Source organism: Homo sapiens, chromosome 6 (genome assembly GCF_000001405.40).
Source record: "Homo sapiens chromosome 6, GRCh38.p14 Primary Assembly".
Taxonomy (NCBI): Eukaryota; Metazoa; Chordata; class Mammalia; order Primates; family Hominidae; genus Homo; species Homo sapiens.
The window spans coordinates 34173443-34191676 of NC_000006.12; the positions used below are offsets into that span (position 1 = coordinate 34173443).

Genomic DNA, 18234 nt, shown 5'->3' on the forward strand with positions numbered 1-18234 from the left:
AAGCACTCCTGTGGCTGGGACTGGACTGGGTCAGACTTAAAGCCAGCACAGCTCTGGGCCTTGCCCAAGGCCTGCTGTAACTGCGGCCTCGCTACCACTTATGTTCACTCAAGTCCCTACGGCTCTACGATTAGCAGGTGGTGAAGCCAGCCAGGCTGTGTCCTTCCCTTCAGGGTGGTGAGTTCTCCTGGGCCCCAAGTGGGTCCAGAGGTGCCATCTGGGAGCTAGGGACAGGAGTCAAAAACCTTAGAAGTCTACCTGGTTTTCTCTGTGGCTGAGGCAGCCCTCAAAACACAAGACACAGTTCTTCCCACTCTTCCCTCCCCTTTCCGCAGGCACAGGAGCCTCACCCCATGGCCACCACCACAGGTCCATGGGAAGCACTGCCAGGCCACTGCTGATGTTCACTGAATTTCCCATTTGCGCCAAGAATACTTGCTGGAGTGCTTTACTCTGAGATAACTTTGTCACAAAATATCTCCTTTTTATTATTATTTTCACATTGTCCTAGTATATTGACTTTGAAAACAAAAGACATTATTCTATTTAGAGCATTCTGGTTTTAGTAGTGATATTTCCATTTACAAAATATAGTAATTCTTGATTGCTGAAAATGTCAAATCCTAGAAAACATAGCATTCCTACGCTTGATGTTAACATCATTCTCGAACAGTTTTTGGCCAAAGATTCATTTAATGAATCCGATTTTCCTGAAATAGATGATTCTAATGATTCAGATGATTCTGATGATATTAGTTCTGTTTAGAAATAACTCCAAGAACAGTTTTTATATTTTATTTTCACGTTGAAAATCAGTCAGATTTGCTTCAGCCTCAAAGAGCGTGTTTATGTAAAATTAAATGAGTGCTGGCAGTGAGCTGCACTTTTTTTTTTTTTCCTAAACGAGAAAAGGGTTAAGGCCCAAGAGCTCTTCAGTCAGCTCGTGGTGGATGCTGTCCGGCCCAGGTCTCTCCTCCCAGGGCAGCAGGCTCCCCTCTGGCCCAGAGCAGGCCCAGAAATGCCATCCAAGAGCTAAGGTCTGGAATCGAGGACGCCAAGGGCCTGCTTGGTGTTCTACCCCACTGCAGATAGGCTGGTGCCTAAGGTGCAAGAAAAAATCTCCCTTACTTTTCCCTCTGCTTTTTTCAAGAAGGAGTCTCTCACCATAGCCACCACAGCTGGGATTGTGTTGGGTCACACTGAAGCCACACCTCAGTGTCTCACCCAAGGCCCACAGTGTACTACCTGGGTATTGCTGCTGGTTATTCAGGGCCCAAGGGCTCTTACAGTCAGCAAGTGATGGATCCCGCCAGGCCTGGGCCCTTCCCTTCAACGCAGCAGATTCCCTTCTAGCCCTGAGTGTGCCTAGAAATGTCATCTGGGATCCTGGAATGGGAGCCTTAGACTCATGACTCTGCCTGATGCCCTATCCTACTGTGGCTAGGCTGGTATCCAAGATGCAAGACAAAGTCCTCTTTACTCTTCCCTCTCCTCTCCTCTCTTCAAGCAGAAGGAATGGATCTCTTTTGCAGCCATGAGCTGTGCAGCATGGGGCCGGAGGATGGGTGGTGCAAGCACTTCCTTAGCCACCCTCAATAGGTTGTGTGCCCCCCGGGTCCACTGGCTCCAACCCCAGCTCAATACTAGGACTCACCTAGGAGTTGCAGTCCTTGTGGCCTAGACAGCATTTCAAGTTTATTTAAGACCCTGGAGCACTTTAGCCTGTGGTGGCAAGGCTTGCCAGAACTCAATTTCTGACCACTGGGAGGGGTGATTCCCCTCTGGTTAGAGCTGATCTGAATGCTCCCCTTATGCATGGGCATCAGCTGAGCTCAGCCTGCTTTTGCTTTCCACTGTGGCAGGGCAGCACTGGGCTCAATCTGAAGTCTCAGAATCACTGCGCTCTCCCTTTCCCAATCACAGACTTCTCTGCACCATGTAGCTGCTGCAGGGGAATGGGAAGGGGTAGTGTTGGCAATTCAAGACTGCCTTTCTTACCCTCTTCAGTGCCACTCTCAGTGACGTGAAGTTAAAACCAGGTACTGTAAATGCTCACCTCATTTTTGTTTCTTATTAAGGTGCTTTTTATGTAGATAGTTGTGGAATCTGGTGTTTCTGTGGGGGAGATGATCAGTGGGGCCTTCTATTCTGCCATCTTGCTTCACCTCTTCCTTGTAACCTTTTCCTTCTTAATACAGGTACCAGGAAACATGGGAAGGTATGTGGGTATAGAAGGAGGAGGCAGAATAACAACCTGCCATTTACTGAGTACCTATTGTGTCCCAGGCACTGTGCCAGACCCTTTACACTATTTCACTTACCCCTCACATCAGCCCTTTCAGGTAAATATTGCTACTCCCCATTCATGTGTGAGGAAATTCAGGCTTAGAAAGGTTGTCTTTGGGGCTTGGCTAGGTGGCTCACGCCTGTAATCCCAGCACTTTGGGAGGCCAAGGTGTGTGGATCACCTAAGGTCAGGAGTAAGGTGTGTGGATCACCTAAGGTCAGGAGTTCAAGACCAGACTGACCAATGTGGTGAAACCCCGTCTCTACTAAAAATACAAAAATTAGCCAGGTGTGGTGGCGGGCACCTGTAATCTCAGCTACTCAGGAGGCTGAAACAGGAGAATTGCTTGAACCAGGGAGGCGGAGGTTGCAGTGAGCTGAGATCACATCACTGCACTCCAGCCTGGGCCACAGAGCAGCAAGACTCCGTCTCAAAAAAAAAAAAAAAAAAAAAAAAAAGGTTTTCTTTGGAAACTTTTTCCATCAAGTGTACACAGCTCCTGGAAAAAGGTCTACTTTCATTCACTCAGCAAACAAGGTTTAAATTAAAAGACCTTACAAAAGCAACGATAAGAAAAACACCAACAAAAGAGAGCCGTCTGAGGCTGCAAACAGCAGGCAGGCCAGGTAGTGTCCCCCGGCAGGTCCCAGCCCAAAACAGATGCCTCGCTTTGGCGGGAACCCTTTGGGATCCTGGTTCCCTGCCTGGTTTCCTCAGCTGGTCTCTGGCATGGGTTTGTCCTTGGTCCACCCATCTTGCCCTCTCTGGGGCCCTGTGGCCTGAAGCAGCCCACACTGCTGCCCTCTGACCCTGTTCCCTCAGCCAGGCCTAGGCTCAGGCCACCAGGGAGAGCCACCATCTTGTTTCTCTGCCCTGGCAGAGCCCCCTGCCTCTGCTCTTGTCACAGGTGTTACTCCTCTGGGTCTCCAAGGACCTTTTGCTGTCATCTGACCCTGGTCTGAGCTTGACCCCTACAGAGGAAGGATGGGAGGGAGGGTTGCTATCAGGCCCCATGCCCGGCTGATGCAGTTTTGGGGACTTACCCTCCTACTCGGCCTCCGTTGCCCTAAACTGTGGGTCAGACAGGGGTGTCAGACCAGGAGGGCTCCCTCCTCAACCCCAAGGCTGCCCACATCATGCCTGGCAAGGGCAGGGGGCTTAGCCTCACTTCAGGAGTCACTCACCCCCAGTTCCTTGTGTTGAGCTGGACACCCCTGGCACAGCGCCAGGGTGAGCAGAGGCCACCACCCTGCCTCAGGGACACTGAACTGGTGACTGGTTCCAAGGACCTTCTCAGCTCAGCAGTGCTTTAACACAAAACATTTGTCTCCCTCACATCCAGCCTTTAACATCTTCCTACCCCTTAGCACCATCTCAAGCACATCCCATTGCTTTCTGGTGACTTTCAGACATAAAAAAGCCCTGCCCCATCTGGTGCCAACTTGAACTCCACCTGATGTCTGGTCAAGCACTCCCCTCCTCCCTCCCTGGCCCACGGCCATGCCCAGGGACCTGTGAACAGGAGGGACCCAGGCCTTCCCCCCTCTGGGAAGGAGGGAGGGGTGAAGTGAGGGACCCTGTGCTTCACAGCATCGCCTCCCTGTGGGTGTCAGCGGCTCCCTGCTGTGTGGCAGCCACACAGCCAGCCTCTCGTAGAGTGATGGTGGGCTGGCAGGGTCCCGGCTGGGTCCCTGCCAATTCAGTGCCTTGACAGGGGACCCCTGTGCTGGCCCCAGCCCTTTTACCACCTCTCAGCTCCCACCTGGGGTCCAGCTCCCTCTCCTGCTGCTAAGGGCCCCTTGCCCAGCAGCCAGCCCTCCCTGGGGAGACAAGCAAAGTGGCTCTCATGCTCCCAGAGCCCACTTGGCCACAGCACACTCACTCATCCTGGCCTCACCAAGCAGGGGCCATGTAAGAGACCCCTGCTGTCCTCATCCCACCTGTCACTGCTCAAGTGGGCCTAGGGGAAGATTAGCCTGACCACTGAGGAGGCAAACATCCAGCCAGAGAATGCAATGTGGGCTCCCCTTTCTACAGGCACTCCCCCGACCCCCCCACCGCCAGGAGAGGAAGCCCTAGCATCTCCCCCGCCCCCCACCCATAGCTGGCTAGAGGAGTGAGAGAGGAAAGCCACCACCCTCTCTCCTAGGATTTCTCTAGATTTCCTAAATTCTGGCTTATATAGACCCAGATGGGAGTTGGGGGTAGGTAAGGAATTGGGGTAATAATACTAATATCAGAGGCAGGCACTGTGGCTCATGCCTGTAATCCCAGCACTTTGAGAGGCCGAGGCAGGTGAATTACTTGAGCTCAGGAGTTCAAGACCAGCCTAGCCAACATGGTGAAACCCAGTCTCTACTAGAAATATAAAAAATTAGCCAGGCATAGTGGCTCGTGCCTGTAATCCCAGCTACTCTGGAGGCTAAGGTCGGAGAATCACTTGAACCTGGGAGGTGGAGGTTGCAGTGAGCCGAGATTGTACCACTGCACTCCAGCCTGGGCAACAGAGCGAGACTCCATCTCAAAACAAAAACAAAAGCAATGCTAATAAAGGATACATTGCTTCTGAGGTCCTGGTCACTGTTCTTGCATTGATTTGTTACGGGATCCTCAGGGTATCACTTCACCAGCTGGAAACCTCTGTGGCTGTTGGCGCCTTTTCACAAGTTTTGCTCAGGCCCACTGGCTTGTTCTACCCACTTGGCCTGGCAGGCTGCATTCAGCTTTTGCTACCAGCCTGGATCCCATGCCTGCCAAAGGCGAGCCAGGTGCGGAGTGGCAAGGGGTGTGTGAGCGAGCAGGCACAGGGTCCGGCCACTGCGTACACAGCCGGGCACACCAGCTGCGGCGAGGCAGGCCGCTCCAGGCGCCAGCACAGGCACTGGCTCCCTGCTGCAGCTGGTCCAGACGTACCACAAGCAGCTTCCACTGTGGGCACCAGGGAACATGGTGGCGCCCAGAAGCTTGGAGATGCCAGGAACTGCAGAGCCCCAAAAAGCATGTCAAACCCTGGCTTGGGGAGCTCCCAAGCCTGGGTTCACCGAAGGGCTGAAGCTCTTCTTTCTTTCTCTCTTCAATCCTTCTTGTTGCTCGCAACATGGCAAGCAGGGTGCGTGTTTCAGCCCTGTTTGTGTAAGCAAGGTGAAGAGGTGCTTTACTGAGCGACAGTACAGCTCTCAGGAGACCCGGAGTGGGTAGCTCCTATCTGCAGGCAGGTCATCCATTGTCTGCCCAAGTCTGACCAAGTCTGGGGTTTTTAATGGGCTTCAGAGGGGAGGAAGTGTGTGCTGATTGGTCCATGGGCGGCCATGGGAGGCCTGGTAAAAGCACTATAAGTTCTTACTCCAGTCAGCAGAACTGGCAGCCTGGCCCCTAGACTTCAGGCTGTCCGTGGCTTGAAGGTGGGGTTTCACCAGGGATCCACCCCTTTCCACCCAGAAACCTGTCTGCCTCCTGCCACCATTCATGGTGCCCAGGCTGTTCATGTCGAGGGGCACCTGCAGGCCTGAGCCAACGCACCCTCAGCCCCACTTTGGACACCCTCCCATGCTTGTCAGCACCCAAAGTCTGGAGGGGGCCAAGGCGGCAGGGGGCTGGTGTGTCAGCACTGCACCAAGTGCATGCACACCCAGCTGGGTCATGACAGCACCCAGGCTCTGGGTGTGACAGCACCTGGACTTGGCCACAACTTTGCTGTGATATCAGAGCAGGCAGTAGAAGTGGGGAGAGGCCAGGCAGTGGGAGCAGGCACTGCCGAGCCTGCGGGGGTGGAGGGGTTTCCCAGGGCCCTGAGAGCACAGGGATGCTGGGGTCCACAGTTGTGGCTGGGCGGCTGCAGCTGTTCCCACCCTAACAACTCAGAAGGGGGCGCAGCTCCCGCCTGTTTCTGGTTCCTGCTGGCTCCGTGGAGCTAGCAGCCCCGGTCATGCCTCCCCCACTGCAGCCAGAGTCTTTTCAGCAGCCACTCCAGACGGACCACTACCACCATCAGACTCACTTAATCCTCACAGCAACCCTAAAAGGTGGGTACTACGCAGGGTACAGTCACTCACACCTGTAATCCCAGCACTTTGGGAGTCTGAGGCAGGCGGATTACCTGAGGTCAGGAGTTCAAGACCAGCCTGGCCAATACAGTGAAACCCCATCTCTACTAAAAATACAAAAATTAGCCAGGCACTGTGGCGGGCACCTGTAATCCCAGCTACTCAGGAGGCTGAGGCAGGAGAATCACTTGAACCTGGGAGGCAGAGATTGGGAGACACAGCAAGACTCTGTCTCAAAAAAAAAAAGGTGGATACTATTATTATCCCTATTTTACAGGTGAGGTGCCTGAGGCACAGGGAAATTAGGCAACTTCACCAGTTACTTAGTTTAGGAACACGCCATCCTTGCTGGTAACTGGCAGAATGTTCAGGAGAAGCAGAACTGGTTCATCCACCTTTTAACAGGTCCTGGAGGAGTCTGCCACACGGTAATGTCCACGTTCTCTAGACTATGAGTCTTAATGCTTCTTTGTCCCAACTGTGATTCTAAGTGACAACAAGAAAAGCCTGATTCAATATGCTTTTACACAATTTGGGACTGTCAACACCTACCATTTAATCTTTCCTTCTCCCCCGACATCATAGTTGGATTACTGAGCCAATGCTCGCACTCTGTACATTGTGTCCAATCCTTACAACAACGCTGCAGAAGGTTACCTATTGTTGCACCCACTTTACAGAAGAGGAAACTGAGACTCAGAGAAGCCAAGTATCTCAAAGCATCCCGTATCTTTTTTTGACTCATTCTGATTGCACTAAGCTGTGTGGAGACCTCAAAATCTGAGTCTGGGCTGGGTGCACTGGCTCAGACCTGTAATCCTAGCACTTTGGGAGGCCAAGGCAGGAGGATTGCTTGAGCCCAGGAGTTCAAGACTAGCCTAGGCATCACAGCAAGACCTCGTTTCTGTGAAAAATAAAATTAAAAAATTAAGGCCAGGCGCAGTGGCTCACGCCTGCAATCCCAGCACTTTGGGAGGCCAAAGCGGGCACAACACCTGAGGTCAAGAGTTCGAGACCAGCCTGGCCAACATGGTGAAACTCTGTCTCTACTAAACATACAAAAATTAGCCAGGTATGGTGATGCATATCTGTAGTCCCAGCTACTTCGGTGGCTGAGGCATAAGAATTGCTTGAACCTGGGAGGTGAAGGTTATAGTGAGCCGAGATAGTGCCACTGCACTCCAGCCTGAGTGACAGAGCAAGACTCTGTCTCAAAATAATAATAATAATAATAATAATAATAATAATAATAATAATAAATTAGCCCAGCAGCTGGGCGCAGTGGGTTATGCCTGTAATCCCAGCACTTTGGGAGGCCGAGGCAGGCAGATCACTGAAGTCAGGAGTTTGAGACCAGCCTGGTCAACATGGTGAAACCCCGTCTCTACTAAAAATACAAAAATTATCCAGGCGTGGTAGTGCACACCTGTAATCCCAGCTACTCTGGAGGCTGAGGCAGGAGAATCACTTGAACCCGGGTGATGGAGGTTGTAGTGAGCCAAGATTGTGCCACTGCACTCCAGCCTGGGCAACAGGGCGAGACTCCGTCTCAAAAATAAAATAAAAATTTGAGGTCCGCCGGGCACGGTGGCTCACGCCTGTAATCCCAGCACTTTGGGAGGCTAAGGAGGGCGGATCATGAGGTCAGGAGATCAAGACCATCCTATCCTGGCTAATACGGTGAAACCCTGTCTCTACTAAAAATACAAAAAATTAGCCAGGCGTGGTGACTGGCGCCTGTAGTCCCAGCTACTCGGGAGGCTGAGTCAAGACAATGGCGTGAACCCGGGAGGCGGAGCTTGCAGTGAGCCAAGATCGCGCCACTGCACTCCAGCCTGGGCGACAGAGCGAGACTCCGTCTCAAAAAAACAAAAAATTTGAAGTCCAGGCCAGGTGCAGTGGCTCACACCCATAATCCCAGCACCTTGGGAGGCCAGGGTGGACAGATCACCTGAGACCAGGAGTCTGAGATCAGCCTGGCCAACATGATGAAACCCCGTCTCTACTAAAAATACAAAAAGTAGCTGGGCATGGTGGTGAGAGCCTGTAATTCCACTCGGGAGGCTGAGGCAGGAGAATCACTTGAACCTGGGAAGCAAAGATGGCAGTGAGCTCGTGCCACTGCACTCCAGCTTGAGCAACAGAGTGAGACTCCATCTCAAAGAAAAAAAAAATGAGGTCTAGCATAAGTCAATCAAAAACATTTCTTGGCAGTTCAGTGCTGGGTGCCAGGGACACCAGGGTGACTGAGCAGTCCCTCAAACAGTACAGCCTTGTGAGGGGGAGTCAGAGGCAGAGGCTGGCACAGGGCAGGGAGCTCCAAAGCCACTGTTCCACCATCAGGGACACCACAGACACTTGGCACAAACAAGCCCAGGCTGTCTTTCATGCGGATGGCATGCTGCTCCCTCACCATCAACAGAAGGACATACAACTCAGTCCTCAACCACTTCACAGGTCCCTGCTTTAGCCAAACCCAATGTGTGATCTCACTTTACAGAAATCAACTGGGGTTAGGATATTTTCTTCACCAAAGAAATGAAAGCAGGATTTTTAGATAACACTTTTTAAATTAATAATACTTCCTTATTTTTAAAAAATATACAGACGGCCAGGCACACTGACTCACGCCTGTAATCCCAACACTTTAGGAGGCCAAGGCAGGAAGATTGCTTGAGGCCAGAAGTTCAAGACCAGCCTCGACAACATGGTGAGACCCTGTCTCTACAAAAATTTAAAAATTAGCTGGATGTGGTGGCACGCACCTGTAGTCCCAGCTACTCAGGAGGCTGAGACATGAGGATCATTCGAGTCTGGGAGGTCAAGGCTATAGTGAGCCACGATTGCACCGCTGCACTCCAGCCTGGGCAACAGAGTGAGACCCTCTCTCAAAAAAATATAGATAGATAGATAGATAGAGCATTTTAAAACACAGAAAAGCAGAAAACAAAATAATCACCATCCATCATCTCACTATGTAAAAACCAAGACCGCAAAAGACAGAAAACCCAAGCAACAAGGGCCGAATATTCTGGCTCACGTGATCAAACCACAGATCATACAGGAAATGCTGCAGCTTCCCCTGTCTCCCACCTTCTCTCATCTCTCAGCATGCGGTTCCATTCTCGGCAGGCTTTCTCCCCATGTGTGGGAAGCATGACTGCCACCCTCACTGAGCTCACATCCTTAAGATGCTGCCCCAAAGAGGAAGAAGCTTCTCTTACCACTCTAATTCAGAAAATCCCAGGGAAGGACTCCAGTTGGCTATCTTGGGTCATGTGACCCATGGCCAGTCAGAGAAGTAGAAAAGGAAAGTATTAGAGGTTCTCAGCCATTGTGGCATCATGACTGAGAACAGTTAAACCCTGAACAGCATAATTTTTTTAGATGTAGCTGATCTGACAAGAGATAGGGTATGTTTCCAAAAATACTACCTCCCAGACAAGGAAATGGGGACTGGCCAGGGCTGAAGCGGCAGGCAGTTAGGTAAATTGCCGTGTTGTGGGGAAACTGAGCCTTGAGCCAGCTCAAAATTGAGAAAGGGAGTCTGGGACTTGTTCTTTCAAGGGGATATGAAGTAATCTCAGATCACTTCCTGATACCAACAGAAATAGAAATGCAAATGCTGTCTGCAAAACTCTTCCCCAAACTGAGACTTCTACAAATTTTAAACAAACAATGAACTCACAAAGATCACCAGCACACAAGGAGGTGAGGTACTCTGTCCGTGAGGTGGCAGAAACAATGAACTGCAGATCCCTAAGGACTAAAGATTTGAGGATTTTCAGATACAAAATGTCAAGTAGATATTTATGACATACTTAAAGAAATAAAAGATGTATTTTAAAAAAATACACTCAACAAAAGACCATTAGGAATGAATAGATAGATTTTTACATGGAACTTTGAGAAATAAAAAATATAAAGGTTGAAATGTAAAATCTTATTAAAAGTATATTAGTTATAGCTGAAGAGACAGTTAGTGAGCTGAAAATACTTCCAAAGAATTTGCCTAGAAAACAGCACAATGAGGCAAGAAAATGAGTTTGAAAAAGATTTTAAGAGCCGTAGAGGATAGAAGAAGATTTAATATATATTTGATCAGCATCTGAAAAAGAAAGAATAGAGAAAAAGAAGGAGATGAGATATTTAAAGAGATAATGATGGCTGGGTGCAGTGGCTCACGCCTGTAATCCCAGCACTTTGGGAGGCCAAGGTGGGTGGATCACCTGAAATCAGGAGTTTGAGACCAGCCTGGCCAACATAGTGAAACCCTGTCTCTATTAAAAATAGAAAAAAATTAGGCCGGGCGCAGTGGCTGACACCTGTAATCCCAGCACTTTGGGAGGCCAAGGCGGGCGGATCACTTGAGGTGAGGAGTTCGAAACCAGCCTGGCCAACATGGTGAAACCCCGTCTCTACTAAAAATACAAAAAATTAGCCGGGCATGGTGCCAGGTGCCTGTAATCCCAGCTACTCAGGAGGCTGAGGCAGGAGAATCGCTTGAACCCAGGAGGCGGAGGTTGCAGTGAGCCGAGATCGCGCCACTACACTCCAGCCTGGGCGACACAGCGAGACTCCGTCTCAAAAAAAAAAAAATATATATATATATATATATATATATAGTAAAATAAATTAACCGGGTGTGGTGGCGGGTGCCTGTAATCCCAGCTACTCAGGGGGCTGAGGCAGGAGAATCGCTTGAACCCAGGAGGCAGAGGTTTCAGTGAGCTGAGATCATGCCACTGCACTCCAACCTGGGTGACAGAGCAAGACTCCGTCTCAAAAAAAAAAAAAAAAAAAAAAAAGAGATAATGACTATGAAACCTGGAGAAGTGATAAGCAACATAAATCCACAAAAAGAGCACATATGCCAAGCAGCTAAATAAAGAAAAGCCCACGCCTCGATACCTTGTAGTAAATACACCCTCCCCATCATCACTGCAAGACCCCATTGCTGTTGTCCCTTTACCTAAAAAATAAAAACAGGCCGAGTATGTTGGCTCATGCCTATAATCCTAGCACTTTGGGAGGCCGAGGTGGGTGGATCAGAGGCCAGGAGTTCAAGACCAGCCTGACCAACATGGCAAAACCCTGCCTCTACTAAAAATACAAAAATCAGCTGGGCATGGTGGTGCACACCTGTAGTCCCAGCTACTTGGGAGGCCGACGTGGGAGAATCACTTGAACCTGGGAGGCAGAGGTTGCAGTGAGCCGAGATAGTGTCACTACACTTGGGCCTGGCAGCCTGGGCAACACAGTGATACTCTGTCTCAAAAAGAAAAAAAATTTAATTAATTTATTTTTTTTTAAAGTAAGGCTAGATTCTGTGCCTGGCAAAACTACCTTTCAAGGACTAGGATGAAATAAAATTGTTTTCATATAAATAAAAACAGAGAGAAATTTATAATCTGACAAGACCACGTGTTGTCAAGGATGTGGTAGGAGTGTAAATGGGTGCATAGGTGTAAATCTGGGCATTATCTGATGAAACTGAAAATATGCCTAACCTATAACCCAGCAAGTCCAGTCCTGAGTCTATACACTGGACTGGAGAAATGCACCCGCCCACACACATACACATGCACAAGGGACATGCTGAAAGTGCTCACAGCAGCCTTGTTCATGACAGCCCCACTGTAAACAATCCATAGGCCCATCAGCAGAGGCCTAGATAAATTATGGCATAGTAATATGATAAGATACAATATGGTAATAAAAATAAGTGAATTTCAACTACATGAAACAATCTCGATGAGCCTTACTAGCAATGCTGAGAGAAAGAGCCAGAGGCAAAAAGCTACATGCAGAAAGATTCCACCTGTAGAAGGTTCGAAATTAGATCCTTCGATATACTAATCTCTAGTATATCATCAGATGCATAAGTAGATGGAACTATGACCGGACGCAGTGGCGCACGGCTGTAATCCCAACACTTTGCGAGGCTGAGGCGGGTGGATCACCTGAGGTCAGGAGTTCAAGGCCAGCCTGGCCAACATGGCAAAACCTTGTCTCTACTAAAAACACAAAAATTGAGGCCGGGTGTGGTGGCTCACACCTGTAATCCCAGCACTTTGGGAGGCTGAGGCAGGCTGATCACGAAGTCAGGAGATCAAGACCATCCTGGCTAACATGGTGAAACCCCATCTCTACTAAAAATACAAAAAAAATTAGCTGGGCATAAACCCAGGAGGCGGAGCTTTCAGTGAGCTGAAATTGTGCCACTGCACTCCAGCCTGGGTGACAGAGCAAGACTCCATCTCAAAAAATAAATAAATAAATAAATAAATAAATACAAAAATTGGCCAGGTGTGGTGGGGTGCATAATCCCAGCTACTCAGGAGGCTGAGGCAGGAGAATCGCTTGAACCTGGGAGGCGGAGGTTGCAGTGAGCCCAGGTTGCGCCACTGCACTCCAGCCTGGGCGACAGAGAAAGACTCCATCTCAAAAATAAATAAACAGACCGGGCGCAGTGGCTCACGCCTGTAATCCCAACACTTTGGGAGGCCGAGGCGGGCAGATCACAAGGTCAGGAGATCGAGACCATCCTGGCTAACACGGTGAAACCCTGTCTCTGCTAAAAACACAATAAATTAGCTGGGCGTGTTGGCGGGCACTTGTAGCCCCAGCTACTCAGGAGGCTGAGGCAGGAGAATGGCGTGAACCCGGGAGGTGGAGCTTGCAGTGAGCTGAGATTGCGCCACTGCACTCCAGCCTGGGCAACAGCGCAAGACTCCATCTCAAAATAAATAAATAAAAAAAAATAAGTAGATGGAACTATAAAGAAATGCAAGGACATGATTAACAAAAAAGGATAGAGACTGAGACATGATCCTAAAGGGACACAGGGCCAGGTGCAGTGGCTCATGCCTGTAATCTGAACACTTTGGGAAGCCGAGACAGGAGGATTGCTTAGCCCAGGAGTTTGAGACCAGCATGGGCAACATAGGAAGACTCCATCTCTACAAAAATTCAAAAATTAGCCAGGCGTGGTGGCGCATGCCCATAGTCCCAGCTACTCAGGAGGCTGGGGTGGGAGGATCACTTGAGTCTGGGAAGTCAAGGCTGCAGTGAACCGTGATCAGGCCACTGCACTCCAGCCTGGGTTGACAAAGCCAGACCTCGTCTCAAAAAAAAAAAAGTAGGGGGGCAGGACACCAGTGGTGCTTCTAGTGTTCATTTTATAATTATTCTGTCCATTTTTGTCTTATGCATTTTTCTTTTTTCTTTTTTCTTTTCTTTTTTTTTTTTTTTTTTTTTGAGACAGAGTCTCGCTCTGTTGCCCAGGCTGGAGTGCAGTGGCGCCATCTCGGCTCACTGCAAGCTCTGCCTCCCGGGTTCACGCCATTCCCCTGCCTCAGCCTCCAGAGTAGCTGGGACTACAGGCGCCCGCCACCACGTCCAGCTAATCTATTGTATTCTTAGTAGAGACGGGGTTTCACCGTGTTAGCCAGGATGGTCTCGATCTCCTGACCTCGTGATCCACCTGCCTCGGCCTCCCAAAGTGCTGGGATTACAGGCGTGAGCCACTGCGCCTGGCCTGTCTTATGCATTTTTCTATGTGTGTTGTATTTTATAATTATTTAAAAGTTCCGGGCACAGTGGCTCACGCCTGTAATCTCAACACTTTGGAAGGCCGAGGCAGGTGGATCACAAGGTCAGGAGATCGAGACCATCCTGGCTAACACAGTGAAACCCCATCTCTACTAAAAATACAAAAAATTAGCTGGGCGTGGTGGTATGCTCCTGTAGTCCCAGCTACTCGGGAGGCTGAGGCAGGAGAATCGCTTGAACCCGGGAAGCGGAGGTTGCAGTGAGCTGAGATTGCACCACTGTACTCCAGCCTGGGCGACAGAGCGAGACTCCATCTCAAAATAAATAAATAAGTAAAAATTTTTAAAAGTTCCAAACAAAATGAAACCGGGAGTGCTTGCCACTATCAGATCTACAGGTGGAGGATGTACTGCAGGAGGAGGCAAAGCCATCCCAGAAGGGAAGCCTGAGCTGCAGGAAGAAACAGTGAACAATCCCGTGGTAAGCGTGAGGAAATTCAAACAAGCCCCATCGTCATAAAGTAACAATAGTAAGGTAGAATTTGAGGGTGCAAAAAAGAGGACAGACCTAAAATACACAACAAGCCAGGCAAAGGAGGATGGCCAGCACTGAAGTTTTCTGAGGTCTTTCTTGCAGTATTTAGGAAAGGGGATAATATATTGTTTAATTATACATTCTGTTAAGCTACATATGCATTTTTTAAAAGCCTGCTATATACTGTTTATAAAAGACACATCGAAGTCATAAGACACAGCAAGTCTGAAAGTCAAAGGATGAAAAAAGATATAGCGGGTAAATATTAACATTCCCCCCAAAACTTTAGCATATCTTTTTTTTTCTTTTTTGAGATGGAGTCCCCCTCTTTCTTCCAGGCTGGAGTTCAGCGGCAGGATCTCAGCTCACTGCAACGTCCACCTCCTGGGTTCAAGCAATTCTGCTGCCTCAGCCTCCCGAATAGCGGGGACTACAGGCATGAACCACCATGCCCAGCTAATTTTTGTATTTTTAGTAGAGACAGGGTTTCACCATGTTGGCCAGGCTGGTCTCAAACTCCTGATCTCAAGTGATTCACCCGCCTCAGACTCCCAAATTGCTGGGATTACAGGAGTGAGCCACCTCGCCCAGCCCTTAGCATATCTTTATTAATATCAGACAAGAATGGAGTTTGCAGCTGCTGTTGTTGTTGTTGTTATTGTTGTTGTTACAAGGTCTTGCTCTGTTGCCCAGGCTGGAGTGCAGGGCCACGATCACGGCTCACTGCAGCCTCGACCTCCTAGGCTCAAGTAATCCTCCTGTTTCAGCCTCCCGAGTAGCTAGGACTACAGGTGTGCACTGTCATGCCCAGCTAATTTTTTTAATTTTTTGTAGAGACAGGGTCTCACTATGTTGCCCAGGCTGGTCTTGAATTCCTGGGCTCAAGTGATCCTCCTGCCTCAGCCTCCCAAAGTGCCGGGATCACAGGTGTAATTCACCCCGCCTTCCAACTACTAATAAATAAAGAAGATAAAAAGTCAGCAAAGGTATAGAAGACTTGAATGACAAAATTAACAAACTTTAGTATGTAGAAGCCTGCACCAAACAATTGGAGAATACACATTACTCTCAAACACACATGTCACATATACCAAAAATGATCACACGCTAGTCACAGAGCAAGTCTCAAGTAATATTGGCAATTCAGTATCATGCAGACCATAATCTTTGACTATAATGCAATTATGTTATTAGTTATTAGCAAAAAAAGATAAATAAAAACTTTCCATACATTTGGCTGGGCATGGTGGCTCATGTCTGTAATCCCAGTACTTTGGGAGGCCGAGGCAGGCAGATCACAAGTTCAGGAGATCGAGACCATCCTGGCTAACATGGTAAAACTTCGTCTCTATTAAAAATACAAAAAAGTTAGCCAGGCGTGGTGGCAGGCACCTGTAGTCCCAGCTACTTGGGAGGCTGAGGCAGGAGAATGGCATGAACCCGGGAGGCGGAGCTTGCAGTGAGCCAAGATCATGACACTGCACTCCAGCCTGGGCGACAGAGCAAGACTCCGTCTAAAAAAAAAAAAAAAAAACTTTCCATACATTTGAGAATTTAAAACACAATGTTTCAAAATAAATCCGGTCTGGGAATTGGAGGAGTATATGGGAATATAGATTTTAAAAAGACTGGCCATGTTAATAATGCTGCTGAACCTGGCTAACAGGTACCCACTGCGGTTCATTATATAATCTCTTATCTTTTATATATTTCCTTTTTTCCATAACAAAAAGCTTTTTAAGCATGGTAGTGTGCACCTATAATCCCAGCACTTTGGGAGGCTGAAGTGGGAGAATCATTTGAGCCCAGGAGTTCAAGATCAGGCTGGGCAACATAGCTAGTCTCCATCTCTAAAGAAATTAAACAGGCCCTCGGCAAAACCTGAGTCCTGTCCTCTCGCTTTCTTCCCTGGACAGCATGAGCTTCACCACTCGCTCTACCACCTTCTCCACCAACTACCAGTCCCTGGACTCAATGCAGCCGCCCAGGTACAGCGCCCAGCTGGTCAGCGGCACAGCCAGCGTCTATGCAGATGCTGAGGGCCCAGGCTCTCAGAGGGCCCAGGCTCTCAGATCTCTGTGTCCCACTCCACCAGCTTCCAGGGTGCCTTGGGGTCTGGAGGCTTGGCCACATGGATGGCCAGGGGTCTGGCTGAAATGGGGGACATCTAGAACCAGAAGGAGACCAATCAAGGCTTGAACGGCTGCCTGGCCTCCTACCTGGATAGAGTGAGGAGCCTGGAGACTGAGAATCGGAGGCTGGAGAGCAAAATCCAGGAGTATCTGGAGAAGAAGGGACCCCAGGTCAGAGATTGGGGGCATTACTTCAAGACCATGGAGGACCTGAGGGCTCAGATCTTCGCAAATTCTGTGAACAATGCCAGCATCATTCTGCAGATTGACAATCCCCATCTTGCCGCTGATGAGACAGAGCTGGCCATGTGCCAGTCTGGAGAGCGACATCTGTAGGCTCTGCTAGGTCAAAGATGACACCAATGTCACTCGGTTGCAGCTGGAGACAGAGATCAAGGTTTTCGAGGAGGAACTGCTCTTCATGAAGAAGAATAACATGAGGAAGTTAAAGGCCAACAAGCCCTAATTGCCAGCTCTGGGTTAACCGTGGAGGTAGATGCCCCCAAATCACAGGATCTTGCCAAGATCATGGCAGACATCCAGGCCCAATATGACAAGCTGTCTCAGAAGAATCGAGAGAAGCTGAACCAGTACTGCTCCCACCAGACTGAGGAGAGCACCACAGTGGTCACCACGCAGTCTGCCAAGATCAGAGCTGCTGAGATGACGCTCATGAAGCTGAGACGTACAGTCCAGTCCTTGGAGATCAACCTGGACTCAGTGAGAAATCTGAAGGCCAGCTTGGAGAACAGCCTGAGGGAGGCGAAGGCCCACTACGCCCTGCAGATGGAGTAGCCCAGTGGGGTCCTGCTGCACCTGGAGTTGGAGCTGGCACAGACCCGGGCAGAGGAGCAGCGCCAGGCCCAGGAGTACAAGGCCCTGCTGAATATCCAGGTCAAGCTGGAGGCCGAGATGGCCACCTACCACCACCTGCTGGAAGACGGCAAGGACTTCAATCTTGGGATGCCCTGGACAGCAGCAATTCCATGCAAACGACCACCATCCAACAGACCACCCTCCCCCCGCCGCCAGGATAGTGGATGGCAAAGTGGTGTACGAGACTAACAACACCAAAGTTCAGAGGCATTGAGCCAGCAGAAGCAGGGTACCCTTTGGGGAGCAGAAGGCCAATAAAAAGTTCCAAGGTCATTGTGGAAAAAAAAAAAGAAATAATAAATAAGTAAATAAACAAAAAGTTTTTTAAAAAAAAACATATTCTTATCAAACAGTTAAAAGTAATTTAAAAATACTTAGACATAGGCCAGGTGCAATGGCTCACACCTGTAGTCCCAGCTACTTGGGAGGCTGGGCAAGAGGATCCCTTGAGCCCAGGAGTTTAAAGCTGCAGTGAGCCATGATTGTGCTGGTGCACTCCAGCCTGGGTGACAGAACAAGAGCCTATCTCTAAAAAATAAAAAATAAAGGCCAGGCGCAGTGGCTCACGCCTGTAATCCCAGCACTTTGGGAGGCCGAGGCGGGCGATTTTCGAGACCAGCCTGACCAAACCCCATCTCTACCAAAAAGACAAAAATTAGCCAGGCGTGGTGGCAGGCGCCTGTAGTTCCAGCTACTTGGGAGGCTGAGGCAGGAGAATCACTTGAACCCAAGAGGTGGCAGTGGCAGTGAGCCAAGATCATGCCACTGCACTCTAGCCTGGGTAACAGAATGAGACTCTGTCTCAGGA

The 18234-nt window shown here is 49.4% G+C and overlaps 1 pseudogene, besides 3 other annotated features; it reads left to right on the forward strand.

The window, feature by feature from the left end:
• Positions 9318-9647: an enhancer, noted in NCBI's record as "active region_24377". NCBI's record gives its function as "activates an Ori minimal core promoter by ATAC-STARR-seq in GM12878 lymphoblastoid cells {active_cell/tissue: GM12878}" and the evidence as "EXISTENCE:reporter gene assay evidence [ECO:0000049][PMID:35858748]".
• On the forward strand, positions 16290-17702 carry KRT18P9 (keratin 18 pseudogene 9; annotated as a pseudogene).
• Positions 16756-16815: an enhancer, noted in NCBI's record as "active region_24378". NCBI's record gives its function as "activates an Ori minimal core promoter by ATAC-STARR-seq in GM12878 lymphoblastoid cells {active_cell/tissue: GM12878}" and the evidence as "EXISTENCE:reporter gene assay evidence [ECO:0000049][PMID:35858748]".
• Positions 16966-17035: an enhancer, noted in NCBI's record as "active region_24379". NCBI's record gives its function as "activates an Ori minimal core promoter by ATAC-STARR-seq in GM12878 lymphoblastoid cells {active_cell/tissue: GM12878}" and the evidence as "EXISTENCE:reporter gene assay evidence [ECO:0000049][PMID:35858748]".